At 37.3% G+C, this 23,886-nt stretch overlaps 1 protein-coding gene across 1 annotated transcript in view, besides 1 other annotated feature; it reads right to left on the reverse strand.

Moving 5' to 3' along the window:
* The window catches only part of USH2A (usherin), an 800,558-nt gene that overhangs the window by 423,967 nt on the left and 352,705 nt on the right, over positions 1-23,886 (reverse strand). Inside the window, exons 30-31 of the mRNA NM_206933.4 lie at positions 23,244-23,435; positions 1,677-1,790 (exon numbers count right to left, since the gene is read on the reverse strand). Of these exons, the coding sequence (NP_996816.3) occupies positions 1,677-1,790; positions 23,244-23,435 (306 nt within the window). The remainder of the gene's footprint in view (positions 1-1,676; positions 1,791-23,243; positions 23,436-23,886) is intronic.
* Positions 10,669-11,868: an enhancer, noted in NCBI's record as "MED14-independent group 3 enhancer chr1:216230868-216232067 (GRCh37/hg19 assembly coordinates)". NCBI's record gives its function as "activates an origin of replication core promoter dependent on BRD2, BRD4, P300/CBP and CDK7 cofactors, and independent of MED14, by STARR-seq in HCT116 cells {active_cell/tissue: HCT116}" and the evidence as "EXISTENCE:reporter gene assay evidence [ECO:0000049][PMID:35650434]".

Below are 23,886 nucleotides of genomic sequence, written 5' to 3' on the forward strand. Positions count from 1 at the left end.
TAACCCATAATCTCTATGTGGGACTGTACCTATTAAAGCAAATTAAGCAGATAGAGTCCCCTAGCCTCAAGGAGCTTGTGATCTGAGATGAGTAATGCTGGTGAATGTGGTTCATAATATAAATTTTTAAAAACCTATATGTAATGATAAGAATTGCCAGAGCTCGCATAACCAAATTAGTCAATTACATATGAAAACTTTAGTGCATATTTTTTTAAAAAGAGCTGTGTATTTTATATAGTTGTCAATGAATTGGGGGGTCCTAAGAACTAAACATTTTTTTTAAATTTTCCTAAACTCCTCTATCATTTAGTAAATTCAGAATTACTTCGTGGATATTTAGAAGTTTGGGAATGTCTTTAAAAATAAAAAAGGAAATATAAACAAGAGCAGGGATCTCTCTGGGGCTTAGCTTGAAATTGGTATGAAGGGTACCAGGTAAACCCTGGACAAAGGATTTAGTGGATACGGAGAAAATAATGCAACATAGGGCCATTTGTCCCATATTGAGGCTGGTCAAAGTCCTTGTAAGAGGGGATGATAATCATGTCCTCAGCAGATGCAATGATACAACAAAAACAGTGCTATTACCAGTAGACCAGATGGAGAAAATGCTGAGGCTGGGTCACTGACAGCATAGTTCAGGTGAGGGGAGTCTGATTGGTTTAGGTAAAAAATACAGCATATTAAGGGTCACAAGAAGGATTTTACAAAGTCATTTATCCTGTCCTGGTTTCATCCTATGGGTCCATGTCTTCCTTTCTGTTACATATCTTCAGTGCAAGTGGTGCTTGGTAAAGGGTTTAAAAGAGGAAGGGGGGAATATATAGATACTGGGAAAGAGAGAGAGAGAAAGACTGGCTGACTCTTTTTCCCTAAAGATCAAGCGTTTAAATCTCCTAAAGAACTTTTCAACTAGACAGTATAAGATATGTACAATTCCTCTTATCCAGAATAGAGAAATATGAAGTAACAATGCTTCAAATGTTTTGAGAGCTGTTATTTCTTGAAGTGATGCATTCTGATGCTTGAGCAAAGCTTTCACTTTGGCGTGCTAAAATATTTTCTCTTTCTCACTGCCTTCTTAACATATGCTTTCTGAAACCTTAATTTATGCCAACAGTTTGTAAGTTCCAAGTACAACAGAAGTGAGACTTAAGTTGGAAGGAACTAAGCAGTGATTAATAATGCCTCAATTGGCATTTGGAGGTTTCATCATACTGAAATAATTGTTGCCTGTGCTGCTGTTTAGCAGTTAAAAAAGACCATGGAAATCAACCGTTTGATTCTCAATTTCATACTGTGCCATACAATCAATTCTTTTTAGTCAGACTGTCTCTAGATTTACTTCTGAGCCATAGTAAAATGAGGAAGCTTTCATTAATCTTTCAGATGCTTCATATTAATGACAAGGCTCTTGCATGAACAATGTAACAGCAATTAAAAAGCCCATTAATCTGCATTACAGCTATTAAAGATGCATGTCATTAAAGGGTATGGAGTTTGATTCATTTTCGCACCCCCCCAAAAAATGGAGCAATTATGGCCTGGCAATGCACTTTGTCATCAAATTAGGTTGGGGTTTGCCAGCAAATGGCCTTGTAGCATTTAGCTCTTCTCCTATTTTATTATTCATGACTGAAATGTGGAAGTCAAGACCTTTGAAATTACTTTACCTTCTTGTGGAGTAGAGATGTTCAATGCATGTGAGCTCTCAGTACAGCCAGCCAAAGTGCAAGCAGTTAGGGTTACTGCATAGTTTTTGAAGGGTAGCAAGCCTGTCAATATGCCTATAATAAAAAGGGACAAAAGAGGGTTGCGTGTTTACCATAAGCATCAATAAAGAGCATTGTGTGTATATCTGTGTGTGTGTCTATAAGAGAGAGAGACAAAAACAAAGAGACCAGAGACAGAAATCAAAAACATATTCCTCTTTCAGTCATTTTCCTCCCTTTCTGCTGATTGTTGAATGGAAGGACTCATGAGAAAAAATTGTGAGACCAACTTATTGTTAAAACAGCTCTCAAACAGCATCTGATGTTTCTCCCATTAAAATGGGGAGGGGGTTCCACATATAGTTCGTGAGGCAGAGCACAATGTTTCCAATAGCTAAGATATATATTATCTCATTCCAGGATCCTAGACCTCCTGCAGAAACAAAACTATTTAATTTTCTTTAACCTAGCATTTTTCAACCGTATTTAACTAAGGAGTCCTTTTTATAGGGCACCTATTAACACACTTTAAAAATGCTACTCCCAAGAGTGGCTTCATTATTTTAACAGTAGGCGATACATATACAAACCATTTGTTTATGTTGTAGCTAACAAGTATGCAAATTAACATAGTTGAACAATTAGCAAATTAGATAATTATGCTTTTGTACTTCTACTTGCAAAATTATTAGTTTATTTAATTAAGACACCTGTCTTAAACGGAAGTGTTACACGTGGAAGTATTGAATTAACATGGCTTGCTGGTAGATATATGAGATTTGTTCAGCAATTAAAAGTATGTGTAGAAATGAAAACACATTTTGTTTACTAGTGTTCATAAGCAAGGCAGAGACTCCTTATTTAGTTAATCCTGTGAATTAAAAAAAATCCAAAATATAACTTGTGCTTTTGCTCACCACTGTTTTTCCGCAAAGACGTTTTTCAGAGCAATCTTTAATCCTAACCACATAGATTATGACTATTTTTATAAAAAGATGGCCCCACTCGTGGTGTCTCTTTATTGATGAAACCTTCAATCGCTCAGAGAATACATTATTGCTTTAAGGTGCCAATTTTGATGACAGCTTTCATCATTCAAACACAAATTTTAATATACATGTTTCCATAATTTCCCTCCCCAGTAGAAAATTTAAAGAATTAAAAGATCAACAAGCCAGGATGGAGCAAAGACCAGTTCTTTGCTTTGACACCTCCCACTTGCCCTTAGTTCCTAGGGCTGTCTCTAAGTCTTCATTCCAGCAACGACCCAGGCATCTCCGTGGGCTACTGAATCCTGTCTGCCATGCTTCTACATGAAAATATTCATCCACTTGGCACCGTCATCTTAGCTCATGGCCAAAGAAGACAGCAAGCCAACGAACTAATATACACACATGTGTGACCATCTCATGCCAAATTCAGCTCTCTCTAATTTCAAAACCCTCTCGTGTCAGAACCTCCTGCTTTCTCTCATTCCTGCCCCTGCGATTGTCATTTCCTGTTAAATCTCCCAGATCATGACCTACGTTCTGAGTTTACTTTCTTTTAAGAAGTTATTTCTCCTTCCACCAAATGGCTTAAAAGCAAGCTAACATTATCACATGCACATCTTCATAATGGAGTAGTGGGGAAATGGGCACCCATGCTCAAGCCAGATTGCTGGCTCCAAATGCCAAATCTGCTGCCGATTGGCCATATGTACATGGGCAAGTTGTTCAGACTTCTGTGCCTTAGTTTCCTAGTCTGTAAACAGATAATAATAATCTCGGTCTTGAAGGAAAGGCCTTGCAGGCCTCACATGTGAGATGGGGATAATATAGTACTTACCTCAAAGGGTTAGTATTAAGACTGAACAAGTTCAGGACTTTAGAATACTTACATGGAGTATTGCCAGTCAAGAGCTCTAGTGCAGAGCTATGCCATTCCAATTTAGGCTACCATTGCAACTCAGTTTCTGCCTCTACATGCTACTAGACAATTTGTATCTTTTTCTTTCTTTCTTTCTTTCTTTCTTTCTTTCTTTCTTTCTTTCTTTTTTTTTTTTTTTTTTGAGACAGAGTCTCGCTCAGTTGCCCAGGCTGGAGTGCTGTGGTGCGATCTCGGCTCACTGCAAGCTCTGCCTCCCGGGTTGGAGCCATTCTCCTGCCTCAGCCTCCACAGTAGCTGGGACTACAGGCGCCCGCCACCACGCCCGGCTAATTTTTTTGTATTTTTAGTAGAGATGGGGTTTCACCGTGTTAGCCAGGATGGTCTCGATCTCCTGACCTCGTGATCCACCCGCCTCGGCCTCCCAAAGTGCTGGGATTACAGGCGTGAGCCACTGTGCCCGGCCGGCCGACGCTTTGTATCTTTTAAAGATCAGCAGTGATCCCTTAAATACCAAATCAAATAGCCCTTCCTCAGTCCTTATCCTCCCTCAACTTCCTTCTGTGACATTGAACTTTTTAGTTGTTCTCCTAAACTACCGAGAACTCCTTTGTTTCCTTTACTGACTCATGTTCCTCTCACAGTCTCTTAAATAGCTTTTGTTTCTCAAGATTGGGTTGTTGTCAAGCTTCTTTCTTTTTCTAAACACTCGCCTTTGCTAGCTTATTAAGCCTTATCTTTCAGTGATCACATTTGTATCTACAGACTTCACATCTCTCCCAAGCCCTGGTTCTGGGTTTCTATCTGCAGGCCATGTAACCACACCTGGATGTCCCACTGGTATTTCATACTCAACGTGCCCCAACCAAGAATCAACATTCTAAATAATTATGTAAGCTTCATTTTTCCATTTTGTAATGCCTCCACCACGATACCCAAATTCCAGGCTCAAAACTAAAGTTATCATCATAAAATGTGTTTTAGCCATTCTATCTTTAGCAAATCTTTGGCATTTGCCATGTCTTTCCTATTGCCAAGTTGGAAACTACCGTAAGATTCTAAATAAGATGACTTGCATGGCTGAATTAGTATAACGCCATGCTAACAAGAAATGAATCAGCCCCCAGAGAATAAGACTTTTAATCCTAATGTCAATAAGGAAAAGCATGTTGGAATATGAGGCTAGTTTCCCTTTATCATCACTTAACCTATGGGGCATATGTGAAAAGCAGCACCCTTCATAGATGAGCATGCTTCAGCTGAGGCATAGGAACACCATGCCCAAAAAGAAACAATGCTGATATACAGGTTGGTTATCTGCAATCATTAGCATGAAGATGTGTTGTACATTCAGGAAGTATTATCATTGAGAAATATAAAAGCAGCTCTATGATTGTACAATTTTACAGCCTGGCTTTATAAAATTCCTTATACTAAGACATTTCTTTCCAAATCATAACTAGAGTGAAATGTTGAAATTTTAATTGTTACATCAAGTTATAAGGAAGGGTATTCTATAGACTTTCAGAGGGATTGTATCAAACCAGATCCTGAGTTCACAACTCACTAAGTGATCTTTAGTGTTTTATTTAATGTTTCTTGTCTTCACTAAAGGAGTTACGTTGTGTATAACATGTGTATAGTGAGAGTCTTTTATTAATTTTAGCCACTCCTTATTTTAAGGACCTTAAAAGCAAGCACTGCTCATCTCAGCAAACTTGCTTCTTCAGCTTTGATTTGGTAGAGATCTTTACCAAATTGTATTGTATTTCATAGAAAAACCCTGAGACTCTTAAAGAAAGATGCTGGAGAGAAACTAGATCATCTTTCAAGCCATTTATCAAAGTGCTCACATTTCCCATTTCAAGCCCGGTGAAACAATAATAAGCCCTGAGAAATGAGAGCTGAAAAATAGAAAACAAAGGAAAAAAAAAAAAAAAGAAAGAAAAAGAAGAAAGCTGATGTTTTGGTTCTTGCCAACTTTGGATCAAAGATGGAAGGTTTTAGATGGCTTGTAAATCACACTTTCAAAAAATGTGCTGCATTTTCTAAGGCTGGAGTGCCATTTCTTTTCTATTTCCAGTAGGGAATCTTGTTCATCATGCTGTGTGTCAGAGACAAAGTTTGTCAAACCAACTGATAATTTTCCTTAAAGGCAGTTAGAATTACCTACTTCAGGAAGAAGAACACTATAATGGTTCACTGTGCTTTCTCCTCCTGTCAGGTTAAAAATTAAGGGTTATGCAAGGGCAAGGGGCTGGTCAAATATGTGGTCTTCATTCACTTGGAATCAAGACAAGGTCATTTTATTGTTGGAGACACGTGGTTTATCTCCTTTGATTCTCAGTAAGTAGTGTTCACCAGGATGGATTCAAGTTGAAAAGTTGTGCCATGGCCAAAGAAAGAGAGTAACACATTCTCTCCAAGACTATGTAGATTGTGGATATATCCTTTGAGATCATTGAGTGGTTATCCTAATGGCTTTGCTTTAAGTGTCAGGGTTCTACTTAGATTAGGTACTCTCTGGAAAATACAGTGTTACTCTGAAGATATATCATCATCAAAAAGCATTTATCAATGTTTCCGCTATATGCGTCTGGAAAAGGTGCTATAGAATACAACTGATTTTTACAAGGTTTCTAACATAAGAAAATATTGGAACTAGAAGAATTCTTACAGTAACAGATTGATACATAAAGAAGAATGTTTGCATACGGGCCAAGTAGACAATGACATTTATAAGATTCAGACTTACCAGTTCAAGATAATAGGAAGCCTAAATTTAATTTAAATATATATTTTGGTATTATATTAAAAAGAATACTGGGAAATAGAGAATTGACATATCTAAAGGAATCCTAGACAGAAAGCCCAAAAATAGAAAATGCGGTAGTTGCCTTTTATGATACTTGTGACACTTGGGGTTTTTATACTGAAGAAGTATATCCTGAAAGGGAGAACTTTAAAATTGGTTTGGTTGTGAATCTCTTTGTTTGGGACACATCCCAGAGAAGTCTTTTTTTTTTTTTTTTTTTTGAGAGTGTCCCTATTACAAGGCAGGCCAGATGACCTCGCAAACTGCCTTTCAGCCACAAACTCTGTGAAATCAGAAAATGGTCCCAATCATGTCAGGAAACCTGCTAGTCCCTCTAGGTAATGGAAGAGGGCAAGCTGAAGAAACATTCAATAAGCATAAAGTAAGCATTATTGATGTCTTAAAAGTGTTAGTATCCCATGAAACACAGGAGCGTGGGTATCCGGATTAAAATCATTGGCACCAGCAGGACCATAACTCTCACTGCTAAGCGATAATGCATTTTGCATTAATGCCTAACATTGAGAAATCCTGACATGCCACACCAAGGGAGTTTGAAGTCAAGTAAGTAGATTCCCTTTGAATTGAAGTCCTGTGGGCCACAGTGGGTGCAGAAAGCCCAAGCTGAAAGATCAGGGGGCAGGGACTTGATTTAAGGGAAGGAAACTCATCACCGTAGATAGGTTAAGAGGCCTACTGCATATGGCTCCAAACTCTGTGCACTCAGGGTTTCCACTTAACAGAGGGGAAGAGCATTGGCCTAGAGAACTTGCAACTTAGAAGTCCTTCACAGTGATTTGGGAATTCCTTGAACACAGAGGGCATAGCCTTTTACTGCTTTCCTTATCCTCTATCCCAGCAGCTATTAGTATGGTTTACCAAAAGTTAGCACTTGACGGGTGACTGAAAATTAAGATTTTGCAGACTGTTAGCTCCACTCGGCTATTTCTCTCACTATAGGAGAGCCTGACTCCCACCACGCCCCTTCCAGGGAACAAGCAAAGTGACAGACATTGTTTCTTTTGACTGATACATTATTATCTCCAACACTCTCTTTCCTTTGCTGTAACCTCAAGTTTCAAAGGAGCCAAAGAAAAATATTAATAATTGGAGGCAGCCTGACGACCTAAGACAAAATCATTGTGGAGCTGACACCAGCTCTGCAAGCTTTTGCACCTCTAATGGGACACCGTATGCTGAGAAGCAGCAAAACAACAGAGGAGTCTGCTTTCACGTTGAAATTTTATGATTAACTCCTCTGACTAAATGCAGACAAGTATAAATGCTCTGCCTGGAAACCGAGCCTAAGACACAAAGCAAAATGGATCCTTTTTAAAGCCGAGCATATTTCAGAGAAGAAAAAAGGACTCCGTTTCTACTTACATACTTCAGCAGACTCCTCCTCCCTCCCCCACCCCACCCCCAGCTGCCAACCAAGGTGTTTGGCCGGCATCCACTGTAATCTGTTCTCCTTCATTATGTTAATCTGTGGGCGGAAAGATTTCTGTCATCTTCGAATCGCTTGTACAGCAATGGTAAACACCTTGGCCTGTCTGTAATTGGACAGGTGTCTGCATTGATGTCACCCAGCTTTTAATTCAATTAAAGAACTGGCTGCTCTGCTCTCATCACCCACTCATTTCCGTTGCACTTTTAGTCTGGCGGTGAAATCTGCATGCAGCAACTGTCTACCCTGAGTCCAAAGTCAGGGGTCCCCTTGTAAGGATCATGCACAATATTTCAAATGCACTCCAACAATCCAAGAGTATTTCCACGTTAGCAAAGGCATTTGGGATAACATGGAGAATTTATCTCTCATTTTTTTTTCTTTATCTTTATATTCTACTGCATCTAAATGATATCTTCTACTACTGGCCAGTAATTAGGAGCAGTCACAGCAAACAGAAAAGCTGTTTCTAGCTTCCTCTCCCCAGGGTTTTCCCCCATCTCAAGAGAACTCATCAGAGTACAATGCTCTTATTTATTTGCTGGCATTTCACATTTGGATCAAGAAAGTGAGGGTGGGCAAGAGCAAGACATTTATTAAGAGGGCCATCTGGTAAGGGATGCCACACAGGCAGAGCTGCTACTGCTACCTGGAGACATAATGGAAGAGCCCACTTTTTAAAAGAAAACTGGCTAGGGGAAGGAGGGCAGAAGAAGAGACTTCTGGCTGAGGATCCCGCTGCAGTGCTGATAAAATCTAATTTTTAAGTATACATCCCAAACCAACCCAGTGGATGGATTAAAGAGAGTAATCAATCCAATATGCCATGCTTCCTGACCACTTAAAGGAACCTCTGAAAATAAAGTTCTAACACAGACATTTTGACACAGTGATCCCATGAAACTGAATAATGACATTTGTTAAATATGGATGAAAACTTAACTATCTAATAGAGATCTGGAAACATATCCAGGATGCTTCTCCTCTGGTTCTTAGCCCAGGAGGGTGGGATTTGTTATTGTTGTTTTTGGATAATATTTTCAATAAAAATAAGGACTTCTAATATTTACAAAGGGAAAGTCAATTTGCATTTTACCCAAAAGGTGGAACAATAAATACACTTAACCCAAACCTAAGGTAATCCCTTGGAAACTTCAAAACTAATTTTTCTTACATTTAATTTCCTTCAAATGGGTTTTTTGACCTTGTTTAAAACTTTTGGTAGAGAGCATAGAATATCATATACCTATCAAAGACTATGCAGATGTTGATTCTTACAAACAGGAAAAACATTATTCTTTATTTCTTTATAAAATATGTGGTCTAATCCCAGTCTTAGAGGACGGTTTAAACAGTGATTTTAATTGACCTCAAAGTATTATCCAGTTAAGATTCTCTCAGCAGGTTTACCTCTAACCTCAAATTTTTAATCAATGCCTTTGTGGTAAGAACTACAGAGTCTTTGCCATTTTTATTCTAATTTGCCAATAAGTTTGAAGCCACGTGCTTGTGTTAACTCTTTACCTTACATAAAGGTCTCACACTGAAATTACTGAAACTCTTCAAGAAAACACTGGACCTGACTAAGCAGAGAGACAGGCAAGGAGACAAGAGGAAAAGAAAAGAAAGAGAAATGAAAGTCATCCCTTATGATCAGTGTCCAAGGTCCCCTGCTACAAGCCTCTGATATTGTTATTCCATTGTACAGAGGAGGCTGCTTTTGGAGTGAGTGTACTGTATGGTGCTCAAGTCCAGACAGCTAAAAAGCAGTAGAGCCAATATTAGAACCTGTATTCTGACCCCAAGATCATTACTCCTCCCATTTGACCTAAGCTCCAGTTCCACAAACAAGAAAAAAGTGTTGAAAAATGGTAATTAAAAACAATAATAGCACACTTTTTACTATAAAATATCTTATTTAAAATGCACCTTAAAATGTGTTAAGAGGTTCAAATTTATTACTGACACCTATTGCTTACAAACAGAAATTAGAAGTCTTGTCCTCCAAAATGAGCAAGTTTGTATGCCTGTAATATTCCTTTACAAAAATGACTGATTTATAAGAAATTCTATGTGTGCATTTGTGTGTGTGTGTGTGTGTGTGAGAGAGAGAGATTGGGTTCAATATTGGACCTTTGTTTATTATACATATAACCCTTTTAATTTGTTCCAAATATAACACAAATATAAAATGATCATAAAAGGTAGAAAACAGAAAAGTCTGGCTGTGCATTCTTCTTCTTTATCAACTATGATTGATAACCTTGAAGTATTTGTATTGAATGTTTATAAGCATTGTGGACATGCCTAGTTGATTATCACTGTAGAACAAAAGTTATATATTTTCATCATTTTTAACTACGGCTCAACATGTTACCAAAAAGAAATGCAAATCCTTTGGTGTCAATTCTTATTGCATAAAATAAAATGAAAAACTTTTTTTTTTAAAAAACAACTCTCTCTGAAGATTTCACAATGTACCAGTAGTTCAGGCACATTATGTATTCAGGAGAGTTAGACAAAGCTATTAACTCATCAACACTGCATTACCTAATGAAATCTTTCTACATTAGCTAAGCAGGAACATTACATCATTTCTATTTTTACTATTTATGTCATAGGCCATATTTTCGTCCTGTGAATTTTTTCAGACCAGTTTCTTTCAAGATTTACATTTAAAGAAATATTTTGTAGCCTGTAATGCCAGCACTTTGGGAGGCTGAAGCAGGTGGATCACCTGAGGTCAGGAGTTTGAGATCAGCCTGACCAATATAGTGAAATCCCATCTCTACTAAAAATACCAACAACAAAAACAAAAACAAAAAAAACAAAAAACAAAAAACAGATGTGTTGGCATGCACCTGTAGTCCCAGCTACTTGGGAAGCTGAGACAGGAGAATTGCTTGAACCCGGGCGGCGCAGGTTGCAGTGAGCTGAGATGGTGCCAATGCACTCCAGCCTCGGCAACAGAGCAAGATTCCATCTCAAATTAAAAAAAAAAGTTCGTAATAAACTACAAATATTGGAATATTAATTTATGGTCTACTATAAAAACTGGCTTTTATCTTTAATAACACCAACAAAAAGAATTACTTTTTATTTACTTCTGACGATTTCCTATTGTGGCAAAGATTACTAATTGCTCCTTATTATGTATTATACTCCTTTTCCTCAGTAAAATAAAAACACTTTTTACCTGGGCAAGTGGCTACTTGGAATAAAGACAGCATTTTTCAACATTCCCTGAAGCTAGGTACAGCCATGTGACTAAGTTCTGGCCACGCAAGATAACCAGAGGTGGAGGAACAACTTCTAAAATATGTCTTTAAAGTGAATGTGAGTATTCTTTAACCATTATTTCTTCCTGTTGGGTGAAAATCAGACTGGATGGCAGGAGCTCAAGCAGTCATCTTGAACTATGAGGTAGAAGCCTTGTCCATAAGGATGACACAGCAAAAAGATGAAGTGTGTGGGTCTCGCCTATGAACATCCCGCCTCTGCATTGACTTACTGTGGACACCTATTACCAGTGAGAGAAAAACTTCATCGCTATTATTTTAGGTTCTCAGTATCTCAAGTGAAATAATGAATTAAAAATGATAAACCCATCTCTGTTAGGTTTTCCCTATAAAACTTTCATTGTCTACATAATCTTATACTTCAGAGAGAGTGCTTGGGCTATATTTTAGTGTTATAAAAATCATGTTACAATGATAGGGCCTAGCACTAGCATGGAACGTGGTAGATCACTTTTTTAAATAAATGAATATTTTCTGTTCTTTATAATTATCAGCATTGCAGCAGTATTGGCTTCCATTATTTTTCATTTCAAATATGTAGTGGTTGGGTTCTATTCTGAGGTCTAAGTTTTGGAATTAGTCTTTATTAGTTATTTATTAGTCTTACCCTACCAACATATTTTTTTTCTATTGGGAAATGTGTATTAAGTTCCAAATATACATTTAAGTTGTGATAGCTCTGTGCATTCTTCTATAAAATTAAAGAACTGTTGATAAAAGACTGAGGAGACTTTAGTAAGGACTAGTAGTTCAATACTCAGTCCAACTCAGCACAAAAAAATATTAACATTAGGTTAACTATGGGGTTAGTAGCAGAAAGCTACATTTGCTAATTGAAAGATTCCTTCATTCATTCTTTTAAGATAAGTATATTAATCACTTACCTTGAGCAAGGTAGTGAACGAGGCTTAAAATAAATATGAAACATGAAACTTGTCCTCCAGGAGCTTATTGTCTATTGAAGAAATAGCATGGGTGCACAGAGAGTACCATAGGCAGTTTTAGCAACTATGGAGTAAGAACTTTCAGTTGAATAGAAAAAAAAATTTCACGGCGTTGAATTACAGTCATTTCTCTGCAGACTTCTCAGGTAAGTATGGTTACATATATATAGAGAGAATACATATATAGAGAGAGAGCATATTTATATAATATATGAACGTACATAACATACACATATACATACATATATAGAGTAGCATTTTAATTTAATTTAATCTTACTGATGATACTCTGCATAGCTGAGTTTAAGTTCCAAAATCAGGCATAAGGCAAAAATAACGTGATTTAAAGTTCCCTTGACAACTCTTTATATGGCCCATAAAGTATAGTACATTTGGTTTTGTGTATGCCTCTAACTCTTCAGAAATCAATGATTCTTCAGGGCTCTGAAGTCTTCATTCTTTTTGTAGACACCCAAACAATGAGTATCACTTCTTTGTCAATGACTGGGAAACCCTAAAATTATTCAAACATTCTTTCCAGCTAACAGATGTTGACATTTTCCATACTGGATAGCATCCTTTGCCTATGACACTATTTTTATAGGTTTTTGTTTTGTTTAATTTTTGCTTTTTTACTTTTTCCTCCATCCCTTACCCATTTCCAAAATATGTAGTTGAATGTTTGTAACTTAAATGCATGCAGGCAAGGCTCTACCAAGACATTGCAATGATAATTCCTACATTGAATTATACTGCTCTCACTTTTATATGAACCTAAGGGGCATCTTGTAATTGAGAATTGGGTTTTGTTTTATTTTACTGTTTTTTCTTTGTTGTTGTTGTTGTTGTTTTCCATTTCCCATATAAATAGTGAGCTCCTTGCCTTTCTATATGGGGCATGACAGAGTGGGAGGGGGCTGGTTGGAAATGCAGAATCTAACACCATATTCCCAGACCTAGTGAATCAGAATCCATGTTATCAAGATCCCCAATTCTTACTTTCTTTCTTCTGGGAATTTTCAGAAGTTCAGGAGTCCTACTGGGGTTCAGGGGTCCTACTGACACTGCCTCTCTTTCTTCACTTGCCTTGGCATTTTTCTGGCAGCAAAGCTAACACAGTCAGAACCAGAAGCAGGAATAAAGCAGGGATAGTTGCAAGCCTAGCAGGTGAAAGTATTCCAGTCTAAGCTGACCACTCCTCTACACTAGTGTCTTTCAATATGTGGTTCATAAACCTTCCAAAAATACAATTGGAGCATTAGGTAAAATGCAAATTGCTAAATACTAGCCCAGATGTACAGAATCATGTGTGAGTGACCCCCAAATCTGCATTTTATAAGTAATCTGAGAATCACCTTATGACCAGTAGAATTGAGAGTCACTAATTATTACAGTAGCCATGTAAAAGAGGCAAAAATTAGAGGCAGATTTTCAGTATGAAACCCACTTCATTCAGGTAAAAAAATTAAGTCCATTGTATGTAAAGACTGAAACAATTTTAGTGGCAAAAGCTATATTATTATTTGTGTTATAAATTAAAATGTCTTTTTCTTTACATAAATGTAGATATATGTGAGTCATCTGGAAGATTATTCTTATCATTATTGATTCATTTGCCAAACTATAGCAAATAGTAAGAAATATTACTATTATTTATCATTTTACCTGAAGAAGCAATATAACCCCTAGACTTTAGCTCAATGTAATGCAACAATAAAATTGAGAAAATATTTTGTATACACCAATTATATCTGTAACACTTGATGCCAGGTGCTGTAGTAATTATGCTGATAATTAAGTTTACATGTTTAAACACCTTACGGAAAAAATAATTCGTATATGTGCGAAGTCTTGAATCCATTCATTCTTGAAATAATTTCAAATCAAATTATGAAGTCAGTTTCTGAGCAGTCCTCAGTTTGAGGGGAAACGCCAGTCCTGTCTCTCTGGGCTGCAGCTTTGCATGTTAACAGGGCTGCAGGAAAAATCAGCAAAAGCTACCCAGAGTTAATTGGAGCCCTTTCAACAAATCTAAAGATACACAGGAGTGATAACTGAAGGGTTTTCTACCCTGAGGCTCTGGCTGAGGGAATGAACCTTAAAGAACTCCTTGCTCTGAACCTTGGCCTTGGGAGGGCACAGAATCTAGACCCTGTGGCCCAAAGGGGCCCATTTGCTCCTGAGCGGGCCTGTTAACCCTTGGACTCTCCATTGCAACTGGGATTTATCTCATTTAATCCTCTGATAGACAAATTCATGAATGGTAAATATTCTGCTTCACTATTCTGTTTTCTTCAGTTATCTTAGTTGATATTCATTTTTAATAATTTTCTTTGCTTTTACCTTCTGCTTTTTGTAAGTCTGAACATAAAATCCCACTTCCCAATAACTATTACACTTAATTTTTGTCATCTTATGATATTCCTTTGCTAGTATTTTCTATTTACTTTTAATAGCTTATTATTTTTTATATACATTTAGTTTTTTATTTCCTAACATTTTTGAGTTTCAGTGGGGAAATGAAAGTTATAAGAATATCTGGATAAAATTTAAATGTGATCACTGGTGACAAACTCCTCCTTTAAATAGAGTTTCCCTGTGCTGGCTGTACAGCAGAATTACCTGAGATAATTTAAAAGTACAAATGTCCAGGCCACATTCCAGGCCAATTTAATCAGACATTTTGCATGTGGGGCACACAGCCATCAGTATATTTTTTAAAGCTCCCCAGTTGACTCAGTATACAGCTATAGTTTTGAACTACCACCTTGTAAGAATCCCAGTGAAACGACCAAAGTTTTATAAATACCTAAAACGAGACCAGGCAGAGACAATGGACTGTTAGAAGGAAAGTCCTAGGCAAACCCAAACTTAAACTGGAAGCAAAATGCCAGCAAGCTCTCAGCACTCCTACTCTACCAAACACTGGGAAGAAAGAAGCTGAAACTGTAGGGTGGCTGCGCGGCTAATGCAAACTTACCCCACTAACCCTGTCATCATCTTAGCAAAGGCTTTTATTAACAGCAACTGGATGCCCAGTAAGATGATTTGAAAACAGTTTAATTTTCCCATGCAAACACCCAGTCAGAAGGTTATATTAGAGATGAGCCAACTAAACTATGGAGTTGAGTTTGGGGGAGGACATTTAGCTGATGGAAAAATTGTAACTTGAAAGAAGGATAAGGATATAGCCCTCAAATTATGGAAGATTGTCATATTCTGGGGAGGATTTAATTCAAGAAACTTGTAAAATTTAAAAATCACGAGTTGCATGCCATTAATTAGATCTAAAATAACTTGGAATCCACTAAGTAAGAGACAGAAGGTAAGCAGTAAACAAGAGATGAAGACAAAAATTGAGAATTTCAAGAGGCAGGCAGAAATCAAAGCAAGCTAGATGAGGAAAAAGGCAGATCATATCAAAGACTGAACTAGAAGAATTAAAAATCATCTTAGAAGTTTCAAAGAGCAGAATCAACAGTGCAAAAATCAGAAAATGGAAATAAAAACAATTATGGGACAATAACCCAGAAATCAGAAACTGTAATTCAGAGATTATAAAGGTAACTATGAATTCATTGAACACTCACTATGTGCCTGTTTCTGAGCAAAATATTTTACATAACTCATTTTAATCTTTATAGCAGTTCCATAATATAAATAAGGTTTTCATCCCCAATTTATGAATGAGGAAACTCCAATGTAAGGATATGTTTTTAAATTTGTCTGAGATCACACAGCTAAAAAGTGGCATAGGCGGAATTTGACCTTAGATTGATTTGACTCTACAAGCCGTGTTCTGAACTACTAAAATGAGGAAGACAACCTAGGAAGAAATATACAATATTGAAAATTGCTATTTCTCACCAGAAGTAATGATCATAAACACAATGGCAAATTTTCCAAGCTGAAGAAAGACCCAAATCTGAAGAATAAAAGAGCTTATTATACAACAAAAAATTAATGAAATAAAACAGCACATTTTCTGATTAGCATTTTTTAAACTTAATTGGTAAAGAACCCTACGCTAACTAATAAAGCGAAATTGCCTTGTACATTCAGTGTCAGAATTATTTTATTTAAATATGACTCTAACAACCAAAATTAACTTAAATATTAAAATCTCAACAAAAGTCACCTCAGAAATGCTAAATAAGGGTTATTTTCAAGATCAGTAGCAAAACTGCTCAATAGCAAAACTGTTTATATAGGCTTCACCGATTTTTCTCTCTTTTGGTACCTTGGTTTCTCAACCAACTGGCAAAACAGCTGCCTCAAAACAATCTCTGCACCCCTAACGTCTCCACCAAATCCAGCTTTCTGGCTCTCTGCTTTATCAGCTCCTTCCATCTCACTTCCTAGTATTCCTTTTGTTTACTGGGAAATTCTCTGACTTTGATAATTATCCAAGCTGGCTTTGGTGACTCTCAATTCACATTCCCTCCTCATTATCCTGAGTCTTCACAATGAAAAGTCCACCTGGCAATACTGGAGTTCTTCTTAGTCTTTAAGATTACCTTCTACCTATGTCCTTGATGACTCAATTTAGCATTGAGAGAAGCAAACTCCTTGAAAGAAAAAAAATCAAAGAATTCATAGTACACATTGGCAAGAAATGTAGTGAAAAAATCACTAAAAAACAAGAAATAATAAAACTGGAAAGCATAAAACATGATGGCAGAGAGAAGACCAATTATATCAATTATAAAAACAAGTATGAATGAGTGACTCCCGTACTTAAATACAGAGAATCTCAAGTGAAAGATAAAACTAAAACTGCAGAGATATATAGAAGTCTTCACTTAATGTCATTGGAATTTTTTGTAAACTATCACTTTTAAGTGAAATGATATACAACAAACCCAATTTTCCCACAGGCTAATTGATGTAAAAAAGAATTAAGATCCTATGGCATATTTCTGGTCACAAAACATCACCAAATTTCTATAGACTACTAATATTAAACATTGAAATGAATGTGTGCTATACATGCATTTACAAAAGATTAATCAAAACGAAATAATGATTTACTCAAGTTTTGGTGAATCAGTGAGTGACAGTGGTGTGGTATATAAATCAAGGAATAAATGCTTTCCAAGTGAACATTGTAAGGAGCACCGCCTACCAGCATGAAGTTCAAACCCCAGCAATCACAGACTGGGCAGCTTGCTGAGCCCTGTCATACTGAATTGTTTATTGCTGTGCATCTGTATGATTATCATAGACTTTATGAATTTTTATTTTATAATGATTTCTATTTACTCATTCATTTATTTTCCAATCTGCTTATTCCACTTTAGGGTTGTGGGTGGCTGGAGCCCATCCTGGCAGCTCAGGGCTCAAGGTAGGAATCAGCCCTGGACAGGCCACCATACCATCACAGGGCATACTCATACACACCTGCACTCACTCACTCTGGGGTCACGTAGACAACTCAATTCATGTAAGGGGAAAACCTTTGGGATGTGAGAGGAAACTGGAGTACCCAGAGAAAACCCACAAAAACATGGGGAAAATGTGAAAATTCCATGCAGAGAGTGGCCCTTGCTAGGGATTGTTTTTTTTTTTTTAATTTTCTCATCAAACTTATAAGAAAACAATGTTGAATTAAAGGATGTTAGCCAAGTTGCTGCCATGTGGTCATGTGCTACATAATGTTTTGGTCAACAACAGACAACATATAGGATGGTGGTCCCATAAGATTACCATGCAGTGTTTTTACTATACCTTTTCTGTGTTTTGATCTGTTTAGATACACAAATACTTACCATTGAGTTATAGTTCCCTACACTATTCAATAGAGTAACATGCTGTGCAGGTTTGCAGCCCAGGAACAATAGGCTACACCATCTAGCCTAGGTGTGGAGTAGGCTATGTCATCTAGGTTTATGTAAGCACATTGCAAGGTGATGAAATCTCCTAATGACACATTTCTCAGAACATATCCATCCTTTAGCAATGCATGACTGTACCTAAAGCAATGAGACTTTGAAGGTTAAAACATAAATAATAAGTGTAAAAGTAATAAAAACTCAAAAAATTCAAACAAAAAAATCTCAGAGAAATTGACAAAACTGCATGCATAGTTAACATAGTTAACTCTTCCCTTAGTTTGTGACAAATTTGATATATAAAAATAAATAACAATTGCTCAACAGTTTTCTGATTTTCTTCTCCCTATACATCACTACCATGTATGACATGCCTTTTGAGTAACATCCAGTACTGCCCTACATTGGTTTACAATCTGTGGGATCTCGCCTTCAAGAAGGTATCCTTCAGAATCTTGGGAGAGGCTGATTTAATTTGAAAAGCCTCCCTGCATCCAGTTTCTGATTTGTTCTTATCCTAACCTTAGAATTACTATTTTGAGGAATATGCATTATATGTTATCAATATGGTATATCTAACATAAACAATAATCAACCCTAAATGGGGAATATATATTTTTAAAAAATCACACATAGAATATTGAACATTTTAAGGGTGTTATATTAACTACATAAAATATTTTTTAAATCTCTACACAAAAATGCAAATCAAAATTTTTTAAAAAATGACAAAACTGGGGGAGTTGCATTAGATGAGATAAACATGTATATTATTCTTCATATGCAGAGAAAAACTTTAATGAGAAAATGTGAATCATTCAATAGAAAAATTAGCAATGCAGCTGGGTGCAGTGGCTCATGCCTGTAATCCCAGAACTTTGGGAGGCCAAGGCTGGTGGATCACCTGAGGTCAGGAGTTCGAGACCAGCCTGGCCAACATGGTGAAACTCCATCTCTACTAAAAATACAAAAGTTACCCTGGCGTGGTGATGCACACCTGAAATCCCAGCTACTTGGGAGGCCAAGGCAGGAAAATCTCTTGAACTCAGGAGGCAGAGTTTGCAGTGAGCTGAGATTGCACCACTGCACTCCAACCTGGGTGACAGAGTGAGACCCTGTCTCAAAAAATAAAAAAATAAAATAAAATAAAAAATAAAAAACAATGGACCTACCTAGGCACATCATAAAAGAAGTAGAAATGGTCAATAAATATTAAAAAACTAATCTCTCTAGTAATCACATAAATACAAACTAAAACAATATTCTGATATATTTTGCCTTTTAAATTTGCAATTTTTTTCAAGTGTAAACCTTGGTGTTGGCTAGATAAAATGAAATGCACAATCTTGCATTCTGCTTGCTGGTGGAAGCATAATTTGTACAGCTTTTTGGGCAGTGTAAAAATTGCTATCCTGGCCGGGCACTGTGGCTCACGCCTGTAATCCCAGCACTTTGGGAGGCCAAGGTGGGTGAATCACGAGGTCAGGAAATCGAGACCATCCTGGCTAACATGGTGAAACCCTGTCTCCACTAAAAATACAAAAAAAATTACCCGGGCGTGGAGGTCTGTAGTCCCAGCTACTGGGGAGGCTGAGGCAAGAGAATGGCGTAAACCTGGGAGGCGGAGCTTGCAGTGAGCAGAGATTGCGCCACTGCACTACAGCCTGGGCGACAGAGTGAGACTTCATTAAATAATAATAGTAATAATAATAATAATAATTGCTATCCATTTCTTGAGAAATTACCAAGCATTAAGCATAATGTTACACACTTTACAGATATCCTGTAGGTAACTTTGATACAGTGCATGCCACATGTCAAGCACTGTGCTATGTGCTTTACATACATATGAATTCGTTTAATCCCCACAGCTGCCCTGGGAGGCATGTAGTTGTATCTCATTCTTATTTACCTAGAAGGATTTTAAAGCAAACAGAGGTTTATTGATTTGTCCAAGCTACACAGCTAAAAAGGGTTAGAGCTAGAATATCATATCACTTAATATTTTCAATATTCTTCTGAGGTAAATATCACTCTCCCATTTCATAGGTTAGGACTTTAGGATCCAGAAGGATGTGGAACTTATCCACAGGGAAGGTATATAGCAGAGATTTATATCAATGTCTGACTTCAAAGTTCAAGACTATACAATGTCTTAAAAGCCTTCGATGCAGTTATTCCACTGCTAGGGATTTATTATATCATCATTGTCAGGAATTCTCCTAAGGATTTACATACAAATTTCTTTAAATTATATTAATTACAACGGTAATTGTTGGAAACCCTGGAAGTAGGGGGAGACCCAGACAAAGTGTGATTGTGAGAGAGGAAGTGCAGGAACATGGATGAAGCTAGAAGCCATCATTCTCAGCAAACTAACACAGGAACAGAAAACCAAACACTGCGAGTTCTCACTCATAAGTGGGAATTGAACAATGAGAACACATGGACATAGGGAGGGGAACATCACATATCGGGGCCTGTCGAGCGGTGGAGGGTGTGTGTAGGGGAGAGATAGCATTAGGAGAAATACCTAATGTAGATGCCGGGTTGATGGGGGCAGCAAGCCACCCTGGCACATGTATACCTATGTAACAAGCCTGCACATTCTGCACATGTATCCCAGAACTTAAAGTATAATTAAAAAAAAAAGAAAGAAAGTTTTTGAGGAGAGGGACATGATGTTGGATGCTCTGTAGAATACACTCACGGCCAGGGAGAGAAAAAAAAAAAAAAGGCTATGAAAAAGATGAAGGTAAGTATTGCAGTTGTCCAGGAAAAAGATGGTAGTAGTTTGGGCTGGCCAGTAGATTAGAGGAGAAATGGATGACCTTAACACATATTTTGAAAAATAGAATGACAACTGTGGATATGAGGTGTGAAGGAGGTGAAAAGTCCAGAGTAACTCTCAAATTGTATTGACTGGGTGGCTGGAGGTATCTATGAGAATGCAGGAGAAGCAAGAGTTGAGGTTTGGTATGGGTAGAAGGTGAGAGACATCCAGTTGGAAATGTCATTGTGTCCAAACGCCTATTGGATGCAGGCATTTGGATGTCTAGGTGGGATGTACAATTAGGAGTCAATAGCAGCATCTATCTGGTATTTGATGTTATGAGAGTCAATAAGGCTTCTGGAGCAAGCCAGAAAAAAATGAAAGAGAAAGAGAAGACGGCCCAGTTCTAAATCCTGAGACTCTTCAATATTTTGTCACACTTTAGAAGAAGTGAGCAAAGGACACTGAGAACAGGGCCCCTGGAGAACCAGGAGGTAAGCAGAAAAGTCACAGAAGTGAAGAAATATTTCTAGAAATGATGAAAGAGTTACTGTGGAGAATGCTGAAGAGTGGTGAAGACATAGAGTGTCAAGTGTTTTTTGCCTATGTAAACATGGCAGTTTTTGGTGCTCGTCACGAAAGTAATGAGCAGAAGCCAGTTAAGTGAGGACAAAATGAGCTTAGATACTTCATGCTAGACGAAGGCCGAGAGGAGGAGAGAGGGAGCAATAGCTGGGAGTTTGGACAGAATTAAGATTTTTGTGATTGGTTTGGGTTAGTGTGTTGGTTTTTAACAATGGGAGATAAAAGAGTTTGAATGACCCTGGGAAGAATCCACCCAGTCAGTGGTTCTCAAATGCTGGCATACATCAGATGTATCTGGGGGCTTGTTAAAACAAGGACTGCTGAGCCACACTGCAGAGTGTCTGATTTGGCGGGTGTGGGGTGGGCAGGGCAGGAGAATGTGCATTAGTAATAAGTTCCCAAGTGAAGCTAGTAATGCTGGTCCTTGGGCCATACTCTACTGCAGCAGACAGAGGCGTTAAAAATATAAGTGAGAGGACGATAAGCTATCAGTAATATCTCTGAAGAAACAGAAAGAGTCAGGGTCCAGAGGACTTGTGAAGATTTCTATTTTTGATAGGATAAGAGAAGCTTTGTAAAACAGAAAGGAAAAAAAGCGTGAAAATTAAAAATAATAATGAAAATAAAATTATAGCATAGCACACACCTCCTGTATATCAAAATGGTTTTATGTGTTTTAGCATGCATTCATTCATCCAACCCCTAATAACAACTCCATCAGGCAGAAAAATGCAATTAATATGTACATTTGGTAGTAAGAAAGTAATAGAAATCCTATAAAATAAATTGTTTTTTCTATGGTGTCTAATATAATCTAAAATAGAACGCTGTCAGCTGAGTGGGATGAGAAAGGGAGGTAACGTGTATAGTTTGGAAAAATATAAAATATTTAATGAGGAGAATGGGGGAAGGAGCTATTCTGGAAATACAGTAGGGTTGGTGTCATTACTGAGTGCTCATCTGAAAGTGGGGTTGAGCATTTTTAGCAATAAACTACTTGGTATTTTCCAGCCCATGTAGCTGCCATATGCAACCTGTGAAAAGGCAAGCTGTGGGCTTACTCAGGCTGGGCTTTGATAAGGAGGGTAAAATAGGAAAGAAGTGAAGGGTGTGAATTTGTTTTTCTTTTGCTAAAAGTTGGTAGTATATTTGGGCTGTGCATTCCAAAGTGTCTAAAGAAGGAAGTAAAGTCTTGAGGGAATTGACCAACAGGTTTGTTGGGAAAATATTTAAGGCTTTTCTAACGTCCATTCTGATGGTTCACGTTATAGGATTTTTTGATAGAGGAAAATGTTTTTTTTCTGTCAAATTTGACACATTTACTTCCCTTTTATCAAAGGCTTAAATTAAACTCTCCCTTTAAATGTGCTTTAATATTTCATGAAGCTGAAAAATGCTCTTAATACACACGCATGAATTTGAGTGTGAGATGTGTTAGTGGTGTGTATGAGTATATTTCATTATAATCATTCTTCATGGCACACCACACTGTGAGAAATCGATTCACTGATTTGCCAGTCCAACTAACTGGGGCTCTAAGACTCCTCCACCTTGAGATAATTAGGTTTAATCAGCAATTTTACAATAAATAATAGTGGTATGAACTGGGGCTAGTCCCAAAGAGTAAATTTTTGCTTTGTGAAATAAGTATTTATACATAGGATTTCCAAAAGATGTCTATAAGGTGTTAAAGGGCTATAGCCACCTATGATGTAATCTTTGGGGGATGGAGAGAATATCTACCTTAGAATAAAATTATCCATGAGAGCCCATGCGCATTGTAGAATTATCCTTTTTATCCTAGGTAGATGCAGGCTTCCACTACTTTAGATGGGTGTTGTTTTTAATCAGGTAAAATACATGTATATTTAATACATTTTTCTAAAAAACATTTGCAGAAGATTTTTATTTAAAATGCAAACAAAAAGGAAGTTAATAGGGTCTACTCTGTTAAAGGATTGCATTTACCTGTGAGGTTGCTTGTATTGACAAATTCAGCACTGGCAGAGGGCATGCGGGGTGGACGGGTGCTGTCCTCACTATAGGCTTTCAGAATGTACTTCTCAATTACACCTCTGACAACAGGTTCATCCCAGGTCACCTCAATGCTGTATCCATTTAAGCTGCGGACTCTTGAGGGAGTTGGCACACTTTGTGGAGCTGTGAAGGAATAAAAGAGAAAATAGGGAAAATGGCAGTTCTGAGAAGACTATTGCTCCTATTCTTCACTTTTAATGGCCGCAGTAAATCAGACTCAACCATTAGCATAAATACAATTTATTAGAGTTGTAACTTTTCAGCATTGATTTAATATGACTGCACATCTTGAGCCATTCAGTTTAAGCGATATTTCAAAACCATCAAAACTCCATCGACATAACATTCTTTCAAGTCTAGTCCAGGTTTTCCAAAAACATTTAATGTATCAGACATGTTTAAACATCACTCATAAAGAAGGAGGTGGATGGTAGGCAGATAACAAGTTCAAGCAATATAATGATGTACCCCCTTTGAAGCAAGATAATTAGACTGTTATTATACATAGTAGTTTGACACTTTTATATCTTCGATGTATTAGCCAAAAAAAAAATCACAAATGTGATTGTGTTGT

This window comes from Homo sapiens, chromosome 1 (assembly GCF_000001405.40).
Source record: "Homo sapiens chromosome 1, GRCh38.p14 Primary Assembly".
Classification (NCBI taxonomy): domain Eukaryota; kingdom Metazoa; phylum Chordata; class Mammalia; order Primates; family Hominidae; genus Homo; species Homo sapiens.